Source organism: Homo sapiens, chromosome 19, assembly GCF_000001405.40.
Source record: "Homo sapiens chromosome 19, GRCh38.p14 Primary Assembly".
NCBI lineage: Eukaryota > Metazoa > Chordata > Mammalia > Primates > Hominidae > Homo > Homo sapiens.
In genome coordinates this window covers 49,507,865-49,527,538 of record NC_000019.10, presented here as the reverse complement: position 1 = coordinate 49,527,538, position 19,674 = coordinate 49,507,865, and the positions used below count along the sequence as shown (strand labels likewise).

The 19,674-nt window shown below is 52.6% G+C and overlaps 1 protein-coding gene across 7 annotated transcripts, besides 2 other annotated features; it reads right to left on the bottom strand.

Annotated features, from left to right (window-relative positions):
• Positions 1–1,110: 1,110 nt before the first annotated feature.
• Positions 1,111–14,878, bottom strand: FCGRT (Fc gamma receptor and transporter). 7 transcript variants are annotated; one of them, NM_001136019.3, is made up of 7 exons: positions 14,789–14,878; positions 14,066–14,152; positions 13,406–13,657; positions 13,053–13,328; positions 2,763–3,032; positions 1,966–2,082; positions 1,111–1,529 (listed from the first exon to the last, which is right to left on the bottom strand). In NM_001136019.3, exons 2-7 carry the CDS (start codon positions 14,136–14,138, stop codon positions 1,420–1,422), a joined length of 1,098 nt encoding a protein of 365 aa, NP_001129491.1. In that variant the 5' UTR covers positions 14,139–14,152; positions 14,789–14,878; the 3' UTR covers positions 1,111–1,419. The 7 variants fall into 7 exon arrangements, with proteins under 7 accessions (NP_001129491.1, XP_047294367.1, NP_004098.1 ...); XM_047438408.1 differs by lacking the exons at positions 1,111–1,529; positions 1,966–2,082 and adding exons at positions 5,726–5,844; positions 11,340–11,425; XM_047438411.1 differs by lacking the exon at positions 14,066–14,152.
• Positions 12,655–13,368: an enhancer, noted in NCBI's record as "H3K27ac-H3K4me1 hESC enhancer chr19:50017428-50018141 (GRCh37/hg19 assembly coordinates)". NCBI's record gives its function as "activates a minimal SCP1, AML or CMV promoter by ChIP-STARR-seq in naive H9 embryonic stem cells {active_cell/tissue: H9 hESC(naive)}" and the evidence as "EXISTENCE:reporter gene assay evidence [ECO:0000049][PMID:30033119]".
• Positions 15,296–15,858: an enhancer, noted in NCBI's record as "H3K27ac-H3K4me1 hESC enhancer chr19:50014938-50015500 (GRCh37/hg19 assembly coordinates)". NCBI's record gives its function as "activates a minimal SCP1, AML or CMV promoter by ChIP-STARR-seq in primed H9 embryonic stem cells {active_cell/tissue: H9 hESC(primed)}" and the evidence as "EXISTENCE:reporter gene assay evidence [ECO:0000049][PMID:30033119]".

The window sequence follows — 19,674 nt, the reverse complement described above, 5'->3', positions numbered from 1 at the left end:
ATCGCCTGAGGTCGGGAGTTCGAGACCAGCCTGATCAACACGGAGAAACCCCATCTCTACTAAACATACAAAATTAGCCGGGTGTGGTGGCGCATGTCTTTAATCCCAGCTACTTTGGGAGGCTGAGGCAGGAGAATTGCTTGAACCTGGGAGGCGGAGGTTGTGGTGAGCCGAGATCGCACCATTGCATTCCAGCCTGGGCAACAAGAGCGAAACTCCGTCTCAAAAAAAAAAAGAAAGAAAAGAAAAGAAAAGAAAAGGGAGAGCAGAATCAAGGGGCCGGAGGAAATATCCCATTTCCTCCAAGAGTGAACACTGCTCCTCGCTCCTCTTCGGCTCCAAGGATTCAGGTGGTCAGACAGTAGCCAAGAATTCCTCAAAATGCCTGGCATGGCAGTCATCCAGTAAATATTTGTAAAAGTTATGAATTAAAAATACATGACCTCAGGTTGAGCACAGTAGCTCAATGCCTGTAATCCCAGAACTTTGGGAAGCTGAGGCAGGTGGATCACCTGAGGTCAGGAGTTCCAGACCAGCCTGACCAACATGGTGAAACCCCGTCTCTACTAAATACAAAAAATTAGCCGGGTGTGGTGGTGCATGCCTGTAATCCCAGCTACTTGGGAGGCAGGAGAATTGCTTGAACCTGGGAGGCGGAGGTTGCAGTGAGCTGAGATCACGCAATTGTACTCCAGTCTGAGCAACAAGAGCAAAACTCTGTCTTAAAAAAAAAAAAAAAAAGTGACCTTAGGCCGGGCGCGGTGGCTCACACTTGTAATCCCACCCCTTTGGGAGGCAGAGGCGGGTGGATCATGAGGTCAGGAGATCGAGACCATCCTGGCTAACATGGTGAAACCCCGTCTGTACTAAAAATACAAAAAATTAGCCAGGCATGGTGGCAGGCGCCTGTAGTCCCAGCTACTCGGGAGCCTGAGGCAGGAGAATGGCGTGAACCCAGGGAGGCGGAGCTTACAGTGAGCCGAGATCGCGCCACAGGACTCCGGACTGAGCAACAGAGCAAGACTCCGTCTAAAAAAAAAGAAAAAAGAAAAAGAAAAAGAAAATACATGACCTGATGTATAAAACTGGCAGGTTCCCCTGTGGCAGCATGTTACCTGTAGGAGAGATCCGAGGCCCAGCCGCCATTCAGTCCCCCGACTTATTCCCTTACCTCCCCTGCCTGAAAAATGATGAGAACACACTGATTCGGGCCCAAACTCGTGTTATATTATCGAGGTGGAAAACAGCCATATGTATTAGGAGGGGAAACTGAGGCAGACCACAGGACGGGGCTCCAGAGGGAGGACAACTAGGCCCAGAACCCCTTCTGGAGGCTCAGAGATGCCAGTGTTCCAGGAGGTCTCACAGCATGAAAGGGGCCTGACTACATTCGCTTTTAGCAGTCGGAATGGCGGATGGTCAGGCGGTGGCTGGAATCACATTTACATCCTTCAAATCAGCATCCTGGGCCTCCCCTGGGGTGGGCAGGAGGACCCCGGTGTCGTCTCCACGAAGGGAGATCCAAGGGGCTGAGGAGAGAGAGAGAGGGAGAGGTCATCAGAATCTCTGAGGCGCTCTGGGTCTGACTGGCGTCCCCCATTTGTGTGTGTGTCTCACACACTCTTCCTCAGTCTCTATCCCCTTCCTTCTGGGCCTTTGTCTCCCCTTCTCCCAATTTTCCGTCCCCCCTCTTTCTACATCTTTGCCTCCCTCCTCTGGGTCTGTCTCCCCCTCCCTCTGTCCGCACCTCTCTCTGTCCCCTCTGGGTCTCTGTTCCCCCGTCTCTGGGTCTCTGTCTCCGTCCCCCTCTCTCTGCACCTCTGTTCTCCCATCTCTGGGTTTCTGTCTCCACCTCTCTCTGATCTCTGTCCCCCCTCTCTGGGTCTCTGTCCTCCCAGGTCTGTGTGCCCCTCTCTTGGGGTCTCTGTCCCTCTCTCAGAGGCTCTTCCTCCCGCTGCCCCCCACCTGGCAGCCCACTCCTCATCCTTCTCCACAACAGAGCTCCTCCTACAGCCGCTGCCGTGAGTAGCAAGACACCGATGACGATTCCCACCACGAGCACGGAGGACTTGGCTGGAGATTCTGCAGCCAGAGAACGCTGTGAGATGTGGAGCAGCCCCTCCACCCCACCCAGTCAGGACACAGAACTGGGGCGCTCCCAGTCCCTCCCAGCCTCGGAGATTCCAGCACCAAGTGTCTGATGGGCAGAGGCGAGGCCAGGCAGGCGATCTGGGCAGACTGCCCCCAGGTTGGACGTAAGAACCAGCTACAGCACGAGCGGCCGCGGTCACACCGGCAATGGATCAGCAGCGGCAAGGCGGGGCTGTGCCAGTGCAGTGGGGAGAGGCAGGCAGAGCAGTGGGAAGTCAGTCTCATGGGCCCGGGCAGTAGCAAAGCAGCAGGCAGTCAGTCTTGGTGAGGACGGGCATAGCAGACAACGAATGGTCAGATTCCAGGAAGACCCGCAGCAGCAGCAGCAGCAGCAGCAGGATGGAAGATGGTCAGACTCAGGGAGGACTGGCCATGGTAGTTAACAGCTCTTCAGACTCAGTGAGGCCAGAAGCAGCAGGAGACGGAAGGCAGTTGGCCTTGGGAAGGACAAGCCATCAGGTTTTGGGGGCACTGACAGGCGTGAGGTTCAAGGCAGTCAGATTCAAGGAGGTGGCAGCAGTGGGGAGGAAGGTCAGACTCAGGAAGGACCGGCGCAGCAGTGAGACAAGGCAACGGGAAACCAGGAGCATCACCACCTGGCGGGACCTCACCCAGCTCCACCCTGAGGGGCTGCGCCAGCCCCGCGTGCTGCACAATGCAGCAGTAGTGGTGCTCATCGCCACTTTTGACTGTTAGTGACGACGAGGCGTGGAAGGATCCGTCACTGTTGGGGCCGAAGTCACCCTGGCCGGTGCCAGCGGCCAGCCCATTCCGCAGGAACCGAAGTTGCAGCTCCGGAGGGTAGAAGGAGAAGGCGCTGCAGGTAAGCACGGAAAAGCCAGGGCTGCTGGGTCGGGCCTTCAGGCGCATGGAGGGGGGCTCTGCAGGAAATCAGGCAGACAGGCCTAAGTCGCGAGCCCACCACTCCCAGAGCCAGGGCTGGATAGGGACAGAAAGAGGCCTCCATGTTTGCACTGTGCTAACCGCAGATAATACAGTGGTAAAAGGGGAGGCACTTCCTAGGTGACAGAGACTCAACCTGTCCACCCCGAAGGTGTCCCCTCAAGATGTCACCTCCTTGGGCTGGGCATGTTGGCTCACGCCTGTAATCGCAACACTTTGGGAGGCCAAAGTGGGTGGATCACCTGAGGTCAGGAGTTCGAGACCACACTGGCCAACATGGTGAAACCCCATCTCTACTAAAAATACAAAAATTAGCCGGGCACCTGTAGTCCCAGCTACTCAGGAGGCTGAGGCAGGAGAATTGCTTGAACCTGGGAGGCAGATGTTGCAGTGAGCCAGGATCGTGCCACTGCACTCCAGCCTGGGCGACAGAGTGAGACCCCGTCTCAGAAAAAAAGAAAAAAAAAAAAAGATAGAGGATAATTATGAAAAATTCCACAGCAACACATTTGAAAATTTAGATGAACTGAACACATTCCTGATAAATACAACCTTCTAAACTGACACAAGAGGAAATTTAAAACGTCTGTAGTCCTATAACTATTTAAATTTTTTTTTTTTTTTTGAGATGGAATCTTGCTCTGTCTCCCAGGCTGGAGTGCAGTGGCGCGATCTCGGCTCACTGCAAGCTCCGCCTCCTGGGTTCACGCCATTCTCCTGCCTCAGCCTCCTGAGTAGCTGGGACTATAGGTGCCCACCACCACACTTGGCTAATTTTTTGTATTTTTAGTAGAGACGGGGTTTCACCGTCTTAGCCAGGATGGTCTCAATCTCCTGACCTCATGATCCATCCGCCTGGGCCTCCCAAAGTGTTGGGATTACAGGTGTGAGCCACCACGCCTAGCCTTTTGTTTTTGAGATAAGAGTCTCGCTCTGTCACCCAGGCTGGAGTGCAGTGGCACGATCTCGACTCACTGCAACCCCCACTTCCTGGGTTCAAGAGTTTCTTCTTCCACAGCCTCCCGAGTGGCTGGGACTACAGGTGCATGCACCACCATGCCGGGTAATTTTTTTATTTTTAGTAGAGACGGTGTTTCACCATATTGGCCAGGCTGGTCTCAAATTCCTGACATTGTGATCTACCTGCCTCAGCCTCCCAAAGTGCTGGGATTACAGGCATGATGCACCACACCCGGCCTATTTAAAATTTTTAATCCATAGTTTAAAACTTTCCAAAAACTAAAATTCCAGGTCCAGAAGACATCAATTAGTGAATTCTTCCAATGTAGAAATGATTCTATTCCTACACTAACTCTTCAGGCCATAAAACAGAGGAAACACTCTCCCAGCATATTTTATGAGGTCAGCATCATCTTGACAACAAAGCACATTATAAGAAAGAGAACTTGGCCAGGCGCGGTGGCTCACGCCTGTAATCCCAGCACTTTGGGAGGCCGAGGCAGGCGGATCACGAGGTCAGGAGATTGAGACTATCCCGGCTAACACGGTGAAACCCCATCTCTACTAAAAATACAAAAAATTAGCCGGGCGTGGTGGCCGGCGCCTGTAGTCCCAGCCACTTGGGAGGCTGAGGCAGGAGAATGGCGTGAACCCGGGAGGCGGAGCTTGCAGTGAGCCGAGATTGCGCCACTGCACTCCAGCCTGGGTGACAGAGCGAGACTCCATCTCAAAAAAAAAAAAAAAAAAAAAAAAAGAGAGCTTAAGGCCAATGTCTCTCATAAATATAGATTCAGGACAGGTGTGGTGGCTCACACCTAGAATCCTGGCGCTTTGGGGGGTGGAGGCAGGAGGATCACGAGGTCAGGAGGTCGAGACCAGCCTGACCAACATGGTGAAATCCCATCTCTACTAAAAATACAAAAAAATTAGCCAGGCATGGTGGCGTGTACCTGTAATCCCAGCTACTCAGGAGGCTAAGGCAGGAGAATCGCTTGAACCCAGAAGGCGGAGGTTGCATTGAGCCAAGATTGCACCATTGCACTCCAGCCTGGGCGACAGAGCAAGACTGTCTCAAAAAAAATAAAAAATTAAAAATTTTAAAAAATTTAAAAAAAGATTCAGAACTCTTAAACATAATATTAGCAGACAGGCTGGGTGCAGTGGCTCACTCCTACAATCCCAGCGCTTTGGGAGAATGAGGTGGATCACTTGAACCCAGGAGTTGGAGACCAGCCTGGGCAAACAGTAAGACGTAGTCTCCACTACAAATAAAAAAAATTAGCCAGTGTGGTGGATGTGCCTGTGGTCCCACCTACTCTGGAGACTGAGGCAGGAGGAATCCTTGAGCCCAGGAGTTTGAGGCTGGAGTGAGTTATGATCACACCTGGGTATAGCCACTGCACTCCAGCCTGGGCGACAGAGCAAGACTCCGTCTAAAAAAAAAAAAAAAAATTCATAAACTTTATAAAATGTATAAATTGAAGTCGATAAACTGAACTTCACTGAAATTAAGAATTTTTGTTCATCCAAAGGTTTCGTTAAGGGAATGAAAAAAGGTTGGGTGCAGTGGTTCATGCCTGTAATCCCAGCACTTTGGGAAGCTGAGGCAGGAGGATCACTGGAAGCCGGGAGTTCAAGACCAGCCTGGGCAACATGGAGAAACCCCGTCTCTGAAAAAGTTTAAAAATTAACTACGTGTGATGGTACACACCTGTGGCCCCATCCATTCAGGAAGGGTAAGGTGGGAGGATCGCTTGAGCTTGGGAGGTTGAGGCTGCAGTGAACTCTAATCCCGCTACTGCACTCCAGTCTAGGCAACAGTGCAAGTGCCTGTCTCAAAGAAAAAAAAAAAAAAAAGCCGGGTGCAATGGCTCATGCCTGCAATTCCAGCACTTGGGAGGTCAAGGCAGAAGGATCCTTACGCCCAGGCTTTCTTTTCCTTTTTTTTTTTTTTTTTTTGAGACGGAGTCTCTGTCGCCCAGGCTGGAGTACAGTGGCACAATCTTGGGTCACTGCAACCTCCGCCTCCTGGGGTCAAGCGATTCTCCTGCCTCAGCCTCCAGAGTAGCTGGGATTACAGGCGCACACCACCACGCCCAGCTAATTTTTCTATTTTTAGTAGAAACAGGGTTTCACCATATTGGCCAGGCTGGTCTTGAACTCCTGACCTCGTGATCCGCCTGCCTCAGCCTCCCAAAGTGCTGGGATTACAGGCGTGAGTCACTGTGCCCGGCCAAGCCCAGGACTTCTAGACCAGCCTTGGCAACAAATACCCCATCTCTACAAAAAATAGAAAATGTTAGCCAGGCATGGTGACGTGTACCTATAGTCCCAGCTACTTGTAAGGCTGAGGCGGGAGGATCTCTTGAGCTTGGGAGTCCAAGGCTACATGGCGCTATGACTGTGCCACTGCACTCCACTCCAGTCTGGGCGACAGAGCAAGATCCCAGCTCAAAAAAGAAAATAAAAGGCAAAGATTTCAGCAACTGCCTAGGACTGGGCATTACTGCCCAAGTTCCTTTCAGGGAGGGTGGATCTGGGCAATCGTGGGTCTTGGCTGGGATCTTGGTTTTGGTTGCTCAGCAGAAAACACATTTGCTGCTTCAGGAAAGCACAGCAGCTTCTCCCTCCTGGAGCTGCCTCTCTGGCAAGTCGGCAGAATTTGCTGCACCGTCAGGTGGAATGGAGGGACCGGGCTGACGGCCATCAGCAGTTCTGGCTTCTGCTTTATGTTCACTATTCTTTTCAGCAAATCTGTATCTTCCTGTGTCGTGCTCACAGCCACGTGCCTTCAGCCTCAAGGTACTTCCAATATAGACTAAATCCAAGCACAGAAAATCTGTCTGGCCTTTGGTTCTGTTTAACAAAATACCAAACCAGGTCAGGCATGGTGGCTCACGTCTGTAACCCCAGCACTTTGGGAGGCTGAGGCAGGCAGATCACCTGATGTCAGGAGTTCAAGACCAGCTTCGCCAACATGGTGAAACTCCATCTCTACTAAACATATAAAAATTAGCTAGGCATGGCAGCGCATGCCTGTAGTCCCAGCTACCCTGGAGGCTGAGGCAGGAGGATCACTTGAATCCAGGAGGCGGAGGTTGCAGTGAGCTGAGATCATGCCATTGTACTCCAGCCTGCGCAATAAGAGTGAAACTCCATCTCAAAAAAAAAAAAAAAATCCATCCTGGCCAACATGGTGAAACCCTGTCTGTACTAAAAATACAAAAATTAGCTGGGTGTGGTGGTGTGTGCCTGTAATTCCAGCTACTAAGGAGGCTGAGGCAGGAGGATCACTTGAACCTGGGAGGTGGAGGTTGCAGTGAGCCGAGATCGTGCTACTGCACTCCAGCCTGGTGACAGAGGGAGACGCCCTCTCAAAAAAAAAAAAAAAAAAGCCCGGGCGCGGTGGCTCACGCCTGTAATCCCAGCACTTTGGGAGGCCGAGGCAAGTGGATCACAAGGTCAGGAGTTCAAGACCAGCCTGCCCAACATAGTGAAACCCCATCTCTCCAAAAAAAATACAAAAATTAGCCAGGCATGGTGGCACGCACCTGTAATCCCAGCTACTCAGGAGGCTGAGGCAGCAGAATCGCTTGAACCTGGGAGGCGGAGGTTGCAGTGAGCCAAGATCGCAACACTGCACTCCAGCCTGGGCGACAGAGCAAGACTCCATCTCAAAAAAAAAAAAAAAAAAAAAAGATTAAGGCAATGGCCATTGCTATCCGCTAAAACCATCAGGAGAAAACCTGACAAAGAACTTCATAACAACACCCGAATCCAGTGGTCCACAGAACAGCACAGAAGCAAGCAGATGTTTGCAGCCTATGCACACAGACATACGCACCAACTACCCAGAAAGTTTTCTTGCCATAAAAATTGAACCAGAATCTGACCAAGCTTCTAGATGGAGCTGCTCCTTTAAAGAAGAGAAGGAGGACTATTTCCAGCAACATCACAGGATGCAAAGGGCAAAATCCAGTCTAGGAGAAACTCAATAGGACATAAACTGACTTTCTTCAAACCACAATTACAGGGGGAAAAAAAACAAAAAGAAAATGGGAAACCTGTAAATCAAAAGACACTCAAGATCACAAGTAACTCAAATTACCTGAAAATGAATCACAGACCTAACTGTAAAATGCAAAACTTTAAAACTCTTAAAATACACAGGAGAAGATCTAGCTGACTTTGGGTTTGGTGATTACTTCTGAGATTAAACACCAAAAGCATAATCCACGATAGAAAAAAAAAAAAGAATAAACTGGATTTCATCAAAGTTAAAAACTTTTGCTTTGTGAAAGGCACAGTTAAAACAATGAAAAGACAACCTAGAGAGTGGAAGAAATATTTGCAAAACACCTATCTGGTAAAAAATTGGAATCCGGCCGGGCGCGGTGGCTCAAGCCTGTAATCCCAGTACTTTGGGAGGCTGAGGCAGGCGGATCAGGAGGTCAGGAGATCGAGACCATCCTGCCTAACACAGTGAAACTCTGTCTCTACTAAAAATACAAAAAATTAGCCGGGCGTGGTGGTGGGCGCCTGTAGTCCCAGCCACTCGGGAGGCTGAGGCAGGAGAATTGGTGCAACTTGGGAGGTGGAGGTTGCAATGAGCTGAGATCGCGCCACTGCACCCCAGCCTGGGTGACAGAGCGAGACTCCGTCTCCAAAAAAAAGAAAAAAACAAAAATACGGCCGAGCGCGGTGGCTCACGCCTGTAATCCCAGCACTTTGGGAGGCCGAGGTGGGTGGATCACCTGGGGTCGGGAGTTCGAAACCAGCCTGGCCAACATGGTGAAACTCTGTCTCTACTAAAGATACAAAAAATTAGCAGGGCGTGGTGGCTTGCGCCTGTAATCCCAGCTACTTGGGACGCTGAGGCAGGAGAATTGCTTGAACCCGGGAGGCAGAAGTTGCAGTGAGCCGAGTTCGTGCCTCTGCACTCCAGTCTGGGCGACAGAGTAAGACTTTGTCTCAAAAAACAAACAAACAAAAATAGCTAGGCCTGATGGCGTGCACCTGTGGTCCTACCTACTGGGGAGGCTGAAGTGGGAGAATTACTTGAGCCCAGGAAGTTCAGACTGCAGTGAGCTATGATTGCACCACTGGACTCCAGTCTGGTGACAGAGCAAGACCCTGTCTCAAAAAGGAAAAAAAAAAAAAAAAAGAAAGAAAGAAAAATTCAACAATCAGAAAAAGACACTGAAAAGACAACAAAATGTGTGGACCTTGCTGGATGCTGATTCAAACTTTAAAAAACATTTACAGTCAGGAATATGGGAACAAAAACTGGACATCTGATGCCATTAAAGAGTTAATTGGTTGTAGGTGTGATGATGGTTTTGGTATTAATTTTTTTTAAATGCCCTTACCTAGTAGAGTTACATACTAAAGGACTTATCAACAAAACAGTCTGGCTGGGCACGGTGACTCCCGCACTTTGGGAGGCTGAGGAGGGCAGATCACTTGAGGTGGAGGGTTCGAGACCAGCCTGGCCAACATAGTGAAATCCCGTCTCTACTAAAAATACAAAAATTGGCCAGGCGCGGTGGCTTATGCCTGTAATCCCAGCACTTTGGGAGGCCAAGGTGGGTGGATCACGAGGTCAGGAGTTCAAGACCAGCCTGGCCAATATGGTGAAACCTCATCTCTACTAAAAATACAAAAATTGGCTGGGCGAGGTGGCGGGCACCTGTAATCCCAGCTACTCAGGAGGCTGAGGCAGGAGAATTGTTTGAACCTGGGAGGCGAAGCTTGCAGTGAGCCGAGACTGAGCCACTACACTCCCGCATGACAGAGTGAGACTCCATCTCAAAATACAAACAAACAAAGAAAAAAACACTGTGATGTCTGAGATTTACCAAAGCTTGATGTGAAGTGGGGTGGGGAAGTGAGTGAGGATGTGCGTGAAATTCAAAAAACCATGGGTTGATAATTATTAAGTCTCAGTGATGGGATGCTCGCTTCCTTCCTTCCTTCCTTCCTTTCCTTCCTCTTTCTCTCTCCCTCTCCTCTCTCTTTCTTTCCTTCTTTCTTTGAGACAGAGTCTTGCTTTGTTGCCCAGGCTGGAGTGCAGTGGCTTGATCTCGGCTCACTGCAACCTCTGCTTCCCGGGATCAAGTGATTCTCCTGCCTCAGCCTCCCGAATAGCTGGAATTACAAGCACCCACCACCGCACCCGGCTAATTTTTGTATGTTTAGTAGAGATGGGGTTTCACTCTGTTGGCCAGGCTTATCTCAAACTCCTGACCTTAAGTGATCTGCCCACCTCGGCCTCCCAAAGTGTTGGAATTACAGGCGTGAGCCACTGCACCTGGCCACCATATTTTTTTTCTTTTTGAGACAGGGTCTGGCTCTGTCATCTGGGCTGGAGTGCAGAGTTGCAATCAGTTCACTACAGCCTCAAACTCCTGAGCTCAAGCGATCCTCCTGCCATAGCCTCCCCAGTGGCTGGGACTAGAGGCACATACCACCATGCCAGGCTAATTTTTTGAGTTTTTAGTAGAGATGCGGTCTTACTATGTTGCCCAGGCTGGTCTTGAACTCCTGGGATCAAGCAATCCACCTGCCTCGGCCTCCCAAAGTTCTGGGATTATAGGCGTGAGCCACCGTGTCTGGTCCGTTTTATACTATTGTTTCTACTTAAGTGTGGTTTGAAACTTTCCCTCCTTAAGCCAGGAGTGGTGGCTCATGCCTGTAATCCCAGCACTTTGGGAGGCCAAGGTAGGCAGATCACGAGATCAGGAGTTCGAGACCAGCCTGGCCAGCATGGTGAAGCCCCCGTCTCTACTAAAAATACAAAAATTAGCCAGGCATGGTGGTGTGTGCCTGTAATCCCAGCTACTCGGGAGGCTGAGGTAGGAGAATTGCTTGAACCTGGGAGGCGGAGGTTGCAGTGAGCCAAGATTGCGCCACAGTACTGCAGTCTGGGCGACAGTGCAAGAGTCTGTCTCAAAAACAACAACAACAACAACAAAGGCCAGGAGCAGTGGCTCACGTCTGTAATTCCAGCACTTTGGGAGGCCGAGGCAGGCAGATCACGAGGTCAAAAGATCGAGACCATCCCGGCCAACATGGTAAAACCCTGTCTTTACTAAAAAAAAAAAAACAAACAAAAATTAGCCAGGCGTGGTGGTGCACGCCTGTAGTCCCAGCTACTCGGGAGGCTGAGGCAGGAGAATCACTTGAACCTGGGAGGCGGAGGTTGCAGTGAGCCGAGATCGCGCCATTGCACTCCAGCCTGGGCGACAAGAGCGAAACTCTGTCTCAAAAAAAGAAAGAAATTTTCCCTACTTAGGAAAGAAAGAAGACAATTAAAGAAAAACTACCTGGTTGAGTCTCAACTTCTCCTTTGTGGCACTTGGAATGAATATCTGTGCACATCCCCAGCTGGTATCTATCTTTGTCCAGCAGCCTGGGAGCCACAGAGGGTGAATGTGTGTCACTTCCCTCTTTGCTCAAGGCCCAGAGCAGCGCCTGGCAGTGCAAATGCTCTTGGCCAACAGTTGAATGAGTGGGGATCTGGGGGCCTCCGGGGAGGAAACAGTGAACTCTGCCCTACAGAGCTGAGGAAAGGCTTCTCAGAGGAAGTGATATCCAGCCCTGACCTTGAAGAATAAGGAGGGCTGGAGTATATGCAGAGAGGGGGAAGGGTGGAACAGAGAGGTGCCAGGGGAAACTGGATGAGCAAATGCCCAGAGGGAGGAGATTGCTTATGTTGGGTGGCTGGAGCGTAGACTCTGATGGCTGCGTAGAGACAAGTGCTGCTGCGTGGGTCTGATGAGGACATTAAGGCAAGGAAGGCCAAGCACAGTGGCTCACACCTGTCATCCCAGCACCCTGGGAGGCCAAAGTGAGAGAATCACTTGAGGCCAGGAGTTTGAGTCTGGCCTGGGCAGCATAGTGAGATGCCACCTCTACAACAAATTTTAAAAATTAGCCAGGTATGGCCAGACGCGGTAGCTCACTCCTGTAATCCCAGCACTTTGGGAGGCGGAGGTGGGTGGATCACTTGAGGTCAAGAGTTTGAGACCAGCCTAGCTACCATGACGAAACCCCATCTCTACTAAAAGTATAAAAATTAGCCAGACATGGTGGATGTGCCTATAGTGCCAGCTACTCATGAGGCTGAAGCAGCGGAATCCCTTAAACCCAGGAGGCGGAGGTTGCAGCGAGCTGAGATCACCCTGCTTCACACTAGCCTGGGCAACAGAGATTGTGCGGAAAAAAAAAAATTAGCCAGTTATGGTGGTATGCACCTGTAATCTCAGCTACTCAGGAGACCAAAGCAGGAGAATCGCTGGAGCCTAGGAGTTCAAGACCAGCCTGGGCAACATAGTGAGACACCGTGTCTACAAAATATAAAGTTAGCCAGGTGTGATGATGCTGGGCTGTGGTCCCAGCTACTTGGTTGGCTGAGGTGGGAGGACTGCTTGAGCCTGGGAGGTTCAGGCTGCAGTGAGCCGAGATGGTGCCACCACATTCCAGCCTGGGGTGACAGAGCGAGAATCTGTCTCAAAAAAAAAAAAAAGGGGGGAGCCAGGAGCAGTAGCTCATGCCTGTAATCCCAGCACTTTGGGAGGCTGAGGTGGGCGGATCACCTGAGGTCAGGGGTTTGAGACCAGCCTGACCAACATGAAGAAACCCCGTCTCTACTAAAAATACAAAATTAGCCGGGCATGGTGGTGCATGCCTGTAATCCCAGCCACTCGGGAGGCTGAGGCAGGAGATCACTTGAACCCGGGAGGCGGAGGTTGTGGTGAGCCGAGATCGCGCCATTACACTCCAGCCTGGGCAACAAGAGCGAAACTCCGTCTCACAAAAAAAAAAAAAAAAAGAAGGCAAGGAAGGAAGCCAGGAGTTTGTCCTGGGGGGCGCTGGGGAGCCATGGGAGGGCTGAGTGTAGAAGGACCCCTGAGGAATGGGGGGGCAGAGCGTGGGCTGCAGTGGGAGGCTGATGGAGGGTCCTGGCAGGGGAACTGAGGCAGGTGGGCATGACGGGAGAGAGGACAGAACAGCCTGCGGCTGCAGATCCGGCTCACCCTTCCACTCCAGGTTTCCGCGGCCCCTCTCCAGGTGCTCCCGCAGGCGGTGCGGGCAGGAGAATAGCAGGAAGGTGAGCTCCTTGTTGGCCGCCTTGTCCTGCTGCTGCCACCGCTGACTGATAGCCAGGGCCTCGGGCCAGTCCCCACCCCAGGTGCCCTGCTTGAGGTCGAAATTCATGAACTCCTCGCCGTTCAGGGCGAACTTGGCGGTGGGCACCGAGGTGTTGTCAGGGCCCAGTTCACAGCCCAGCAGGCCCTGCAGAGTGTAGGGACCTGGGGCGCCCAAACACAGGTAAGCGGGGCCCCGGAGCATGGACCCGGCCCCTTGCCCCTCCAGACCGGAATCTCACCTTTTCCCCCCAAAGCTTTGAAAGCTTCCAGAAAGAGCTTCTCCTTGATCCTCAGATCTGTGGTCTCTTTCTCCCAATACCAGGACACCTGGTTTTCCCAGACCCAAGCTCCACAGGGCTCCGCCTCGCCCCGCAGGCTATTGTAGCTCAGGTACTGCTGCGGGCCCAGCCAGCCGGACACCCAGAAGGCAGGAGTCCCCGGGGCAGGCGAGGACACCGCGGTAAGGTGGTACAGGAGGGAGAGGTGGCTTTCTGCAGACAGAAACAGAGCTGAAGGGAGCACACGGGCGGGGAACTAGACTGCAGTGGGACAGATACCCAGGGAGGGAGAAGAATCTATTATGGAGGGAGGGGGACAGATTCAGAGAGAGGGGACAGAAACCCGGGGGGGGGGGGACAGAGACCCAGAGAGAGAGAGACAAGAGACCCAGAAAGAGAGGGGGACAGAGACCCAGAGAGAGAGAGGGAAACAGACACAAGAGGCGACAGGTGGTTCCCAGCCTCAGGCCCAGCAGGAGACGTTGAGAAAGTTAATTGAGCGGAGAAGGCAGCGCCAGGGGCTCGCGGGGAACTCGGGTCCCGCTGGCTTCGCCCCTGCCTGCCTGGGGCCGCCTCCCGCCGCCCGCCTGCAGCAGGGCCCTGGCCCGGAGCGGCCCTCACCTGCGCCCAGGCTCCCAGGAAGGAGAAAGAGCAGGAGCCCCAGCGCCCAGGGCTGAGGCCGCGGGACCCCCATGCTGAGAGGACGACCTGGGGCGGGAGGGGGCACGTGACTCCTCCCGACCCCCGGCCCGCCCCTTCCTCCCGGGACACCGCGGGCACGGCCGGGACCAGGACGCCGAGGAGGGGCTCTGCGGGCTCGGTCCAGACTGACAACAATGCCCTCCTCGTACCTGAAGAACTTTCACCCCTGAACTGGATCTCAGTTGGTTAATTAATTACAGACACTTGATAGGCTGAGAGTCCCGGCCCCGAGCTCCGCCACGCCCCTTCCGCCCCCCTCAGGCCCCAGCCCCTCCTCCCTCAGACCCCGGAGTCCAGGCCCCCAACCGCTCTTCCCTCGGACCCAGGAGTCCGGGCCCCCAACCGCTCTACCCTCGGACCCAGGAGTCCGGGCCCCCAACCGCTCTACCCTCGGACCCAGGAGTCCGGGCCCCCAACCCCTCCTCCCTCGGACCCAGGAGTCCAGGCCCCCCCGGCCCCTCCTCCCTCCTCCCTCAGACCCAGCGTCCAGACCCCCAGTCCCTCCTCTCTCAGACCCAGGAATCCAGGCCCCCACCCCTCCTCCCTCAGACCCAGTGTCGAGACCCCCAGCCACTCCTCCCTCAGACCCAGGGTTCCAGGCCCCCAGCCCCTCCTCCCTCAGTCGGGCCCTGGTCGGCTCACGTTCCCTTCAGCCTCGCTCCCTTCCTGCCTGCGGCCCTGGCCGGCTCCTGGCTCCCGTGACTGGAGACCCCAGTTCCTCTCTCACATCCTGTGGGAGGCTGCTGCTCCCTGACTCCAAGAACATCCAGCCCCACCCCCCAGTTGCAGGGCACACCCCAGGCCCTAGGCCCAGCCTGTTTGTTTCTCAAAACGCTTGTGGTTCTTCTTTTTCCTTCTCTGTGGTTCCCGTTTTTTACTTTGAGGGTGTCTGCCGCTCAGGGAATTCTTGACAAAACTGGGAAAGGAACTCGATGCCTCCGGAGTCCACAACTTGGAGGTCTCTGGATCCTCCTCCTACCCCTCTGTATCCCCGTGGCCTTCCCTAGCGCTCGCTGTTAATCAAAATCTTCTGGAAGCCTCCTTAGTTCCTCCTTCAAGCCCTTCCCCCGGCATCCCCTTAAAAAATTCCTGCAGGTGCTCTTTAATATCCTTCTGCGGGCCGGGCGCAGTGACTCACGCCTGTAATCCCAGCACTTTGGGAGGCCAAGGCGGGCGGATCACGAGGTCAGGAGTTCGAGACCAGCCTGGCCAATATGGTGACACCCCCGTCTCTACTAATAATACAAAAATTAGCTGAGCGTGGTGGTGGGCCTGTGGTCCCAGCTACTCGGGAGGCTGAGACAGGAGAATTGCTTGAACCCGGGAGGTGGAGGTCGCAGTGAGCCGAGATTGCACCACTGCACTCCAGACTGGCAACAGAGCGAGACTCCGTCTCAAAAAAAAAAAAAAACCACATCCTTCTGCTAGGACTTCAGTGACCACATGGTCCCCATACAATGCTGCCTCACTCGAAGGCCCCTCCAGGCACCAGCCCCCGCCCACACTCCTGCTACAAAGCTTCCCATACACTTATTTCATTGTGGTAAAATATTCAAAATATTTACCCTTACTGTCATTTAACACATTTACAGTGCTGTGCAACTGTCACCTCTATCCGAGTTCCAGAGCTTTTTTATCACCCCAAACAGAAGGTCTGTCCCCGTTAAACAGCCGCTGCTCCCAGACCCCTGGCAACCATTCATCTGCTTTCTGTCTTGATAGATTTGCCTATTCTGCACATTTCAAAGAAATTGAATCATATAATATGAAGTCTTTCCTTCCTTCCTTCCTTGCCTCCTTCCTTCCTTCCTTCCTTGCCTCCTTCCTTCCTTGCCTCCTTCCTTCCTTCCTTCCTTCCTTCCTTCCTTCCTTCCTTCCTTCCTTCCTTTCCTTTTTTTTGACAGGGTCTGGCTCTGTCACTCAAGCTAGAATGCCGTGGAGCGATCATGGCTCACTGCAGCCTCAACCTCCCAAGCTCAAGCACTCCACCTGCCTTAGCCTCTCAAGGAGCTGGAATTACACACACTTGCCACCAGGCCCAGCTAATTTTTGTATTTTTGCAGAGATAGTGTCTTGCTATGTTTCCCAGGCTGGTCTCAAACTGCTGGGCTCAAGACAGCCTCCCACCTTGGCCTCCCAAAGCACTGGGATGACAGGTGCAAGACACCCATGCCTGGCCTGTTTTCAGCTCTATTGAGCATACATCTGGGAGTGGAACTGCTGGTCAGGTAGTTCAGGTTCTCTAGAGAAACAGAATCCACAGAATGTGTATATGCATACACAGAAAGAGATTCATTTGAGGAATTGGCTTCCAGGATTAGTGGACGTTCAGCTGGTTCAGAGTCTGATGCGGGGGCCAGGTGTGGTGGTGCATGCCTGTCATCCCAGCACTTTGGGAGGCCAAGTTGGGAGGATCGCTTGAGTCCAGGAGTTTGAGACCAACCTGGCCAACATAGGGAGACCCTGTCTCTATTTTTAAAAAAAATTTCAAAAATGTTGGACGCGGTGGCTCAAGCCTGTAATCCCAGCACTTTGGGAGGCCAAGGCGGGCAGATCACGAGGTCATGGTGAAACCCCATCCCTACTAAAAATATAAAAAAATTAGCGAGGCATGGTGGCAGGCGCCTGTAGTCCCAGTTACTCAGGAGGCTGAGGCAAGAGAATGGCGTGAACCCGGGAGGCGGAGCTTGCAGTGAGCTGAGATCCCGCCACTGCCCTCCAGCCTGGGCGACAGAGCAAGACTCCATCTCAAAAAAAAGAAAGAAAGAAAGAAAGAAACCCCAAAGTCTAATGGGGGAGCCAGCAGGTGGGAGACACAATTGCCTAGCAGGACTCCCTCTCCCTCTGGGCAGACTTTTCTTCTTTTTTTTTTTTTTGAGACGCAGTCTCGCTCTGCCATCAGGCTGGAGCGCAATGGCCCGATCTTGGCTCACTGCAACCTCCGCCTCCCGGGTTCAAGCGATTCTCCTGCCTCAGCCTCCCAAGTAGCTGGGATTACAGGCACCTGCCACCACACCCGGTTAATTTTTGTATTTTTAGTAGAGACGGGGATTTCACCATGTTGGCCAGGATGGCCTCGATCTCTTGACCTCGTGATCTGCCCGCCTCAGCCTTCCAAAGTGCTGGGATTATAGGCGTGAGCCACCGCACCCAGCCGAGACTTTTCTTCTATTCAGGGTTTCAAGTGGTTGGATGAGCCTCCCTCAATTCAGGAAGGGGAACCTCCTTTACTCAAAGCCTAACAATCTAAACATAAATCTCAGCTGGGCACAGTGGCTCATGCCTGTAATCCCAGCACTTTGGTAGGCCAAGGCAGGAGGATCGCTTGAGTTCAAGGACCAGCCTGAGTAACAGAGAGAGCTTATCTCTACAAAAAATTAAAATATTAGCCGGGTGTGGTGGTGCGCACTTGTGGTCCCAGCTACTCAAGAGGCTGAAGCTGGGGGACCCCTTGAGCCCAAGAGTTGGAGGCTGCAGTGAGCCGTGATGGCGCCACTGCACTCCAGCCTGGGCAGCAGCAAGACCCTGTCTCACAAATATATATGTAAATCTCATCCTAAAACACCCTCATAGAGACATCCAGAATAATGTTGACCGAATATCTCTTCACTCACTGTGGCTCAGCCAAATTGACACATAAAATTAACCAGGTAAATCTCTGTTCTCCTTGTCCAGAATGTCTTCATTTTTCTCATTCTGCCTGTGTCCTACTGTGTCCTACCTGATTCTCCCTGTGTCCTACTAGAAGGGAGATCCAGTGACACCCATCCCAAGGTCCACTCCTAAGAGACAGAAAGAACCTGCTTTAACTTCTTCTTTTCTTCTTTTCTTTTCTTTTTTTTATTTTTTGAGACAGAGTCTTGCTCTGTCGCCCAGGCTGGAGGGCAGTGGTGCAGTCTCGGCTCACTGCAAGCTGCGCCTCCCAGGTTCACGCCATTCTCCTGCCTCAGCCTCCCGAGTAACTGGGACTACGTGAGCCTGCCACCACGCCTGGCTAATTTTTATATTTTTAGTAGAGACAGGGTTTCACCGTGTTAGCCAGGATGGTCTCGATCTCCTGACCTCGTGATCCGCCCGACTCGGCCTCCCAAAGTGCTGGGAATTACAGGTGTGAGCCACTGCGCCTGGCCACCTGCTTTAATTTCTTAAGAATCCTAATTACAGCACCCTCAGCTCTTCCCCAAAATACCCTGAGGCAACTGCCCTGTCCTTAGCTGTCCCCTCTAGTTTCCTTGGGATCATGTAATGTCTTCAGGACACTATTCCAGCAGCCCCTGGGCCCCATTTTAAGGTTCCTTGGACCCTGACAGAATCCTCAATGCCCTGTTACAGTGTCCCTCAGGAGCCTGCTATGCTTTTCCTGGAAGTCTGACTACCATCACTGTGGGGTCCTCTATAACCCAGCCTTAGCTCTCACGTCCCCACCCCCAGGGCCCTGCTGTAACATTACCAGGACATTCGTAAAGCTCCTTGGACCACCTATGATACTCACAGGTTTTGTGTTCCTTTTTTTTTTTTTTTTTAGATGGAGTCTGGCTCTGTTGCCCAGCTTGGAGTGCACTGGTGCGAACTCGGCTCACTGCAACCTCCGCCTCCCGGGTTCAAGAGATTCTCCTGCCTCAGCCTCCTGAGTAGCTGGGATTACAGGCACCCGCCACCACACCCGGCTAATTTTTGTATTTTTAGTAGAGACGGCGTTTCACCATATTGGCCAGGCTGGTCTCGAACTCCTGACCTCGTGATCCACCCGCCTCGGCCTCCCAAAGTGTTGGGATTACAGGCGTGAACCACCGCACCCAACAATTTTGTGTTCTTTCTGGAGGCTCCAGGGAAGAATCGGTGTTTTTGCCTTTCCCAGCTTCTAGAAGCTACCAGCATTCCTTGGCTCATGGCCCAGTCCTCCATCTTCAAGGCCAGCAGCACGGCATCCTCTCCCCTCTCTGACCCATATGTCGGTCCTCACGTCTTCTCTCTCCGACACCAACCCGCCTGCCTCCCTCTCCAAAGGAGTCCTGTGATTATGTTTAGGGCTACTTGGATAATCCGAGATCGTCTCCCCATCTGAACCTAACCTAATCACATCACAAAGTCCCTTTTCCCATATAAGGCCACAGCCAGAGGTTTTGGGGGATTAGGGCATGGACGTCTCTGAGGCCATGATTCAGCTGGCCGTGGTCATCTGGAGTGTCTTTCCTTGCCCCATTCTGATCTCCTCTCCTTGCTGTTGTAATGGCCTGGGGCTTTAACCAGGAGGCCTCCCAGGGGTCTGCCTAGACATTCCCCATCATAGCCCTCCTTCCTGTCACGGAAGAAAAAGGTCTCAGTCAACGTTGCAGTGAGCCATGATTGCATCACAGCACTCCAACCTGGATGACTGAGCGAGACCCTAAAGAAAAAGAAAAAGAAAAAGAAAAAGGCCTCAAGGTCCCTTAGTGCCACCTGGGAAACCCTTGCAGATGCCCTGGGTTCCTGCAATGTCTCTGGAGCCCATTTATAGCATCAGCTGGTTGACTTGCATCAGATCCTCA

Excerpts from the sequence above, each read along its gene's own strand:
- FCGRT (NM_001136019.3), bottom strand. The coding sequence starts at position 14,138 with ATGGGGGTCCCGCGGCCTCAGCCCTGGGCGCTGGGGCTCCTGCTCTTT. Across the intron at positions 2,083-2,762 it reads GCCCCTCAGGGTGGAGCTGG|AATCTCCAGCCAAGTCCTCC; the intron begins GTGAGGTCCCGC and ends CTCTGGCTGCAG. Across the intron at positions 1,530-1,965 it reads GATGAGGAGTGGGCTGCCAG|CCCCTTGGATCTCCCTTCGT; the intron begins GTGGGGGGCAGC and ends CTCTCTCCTCAG.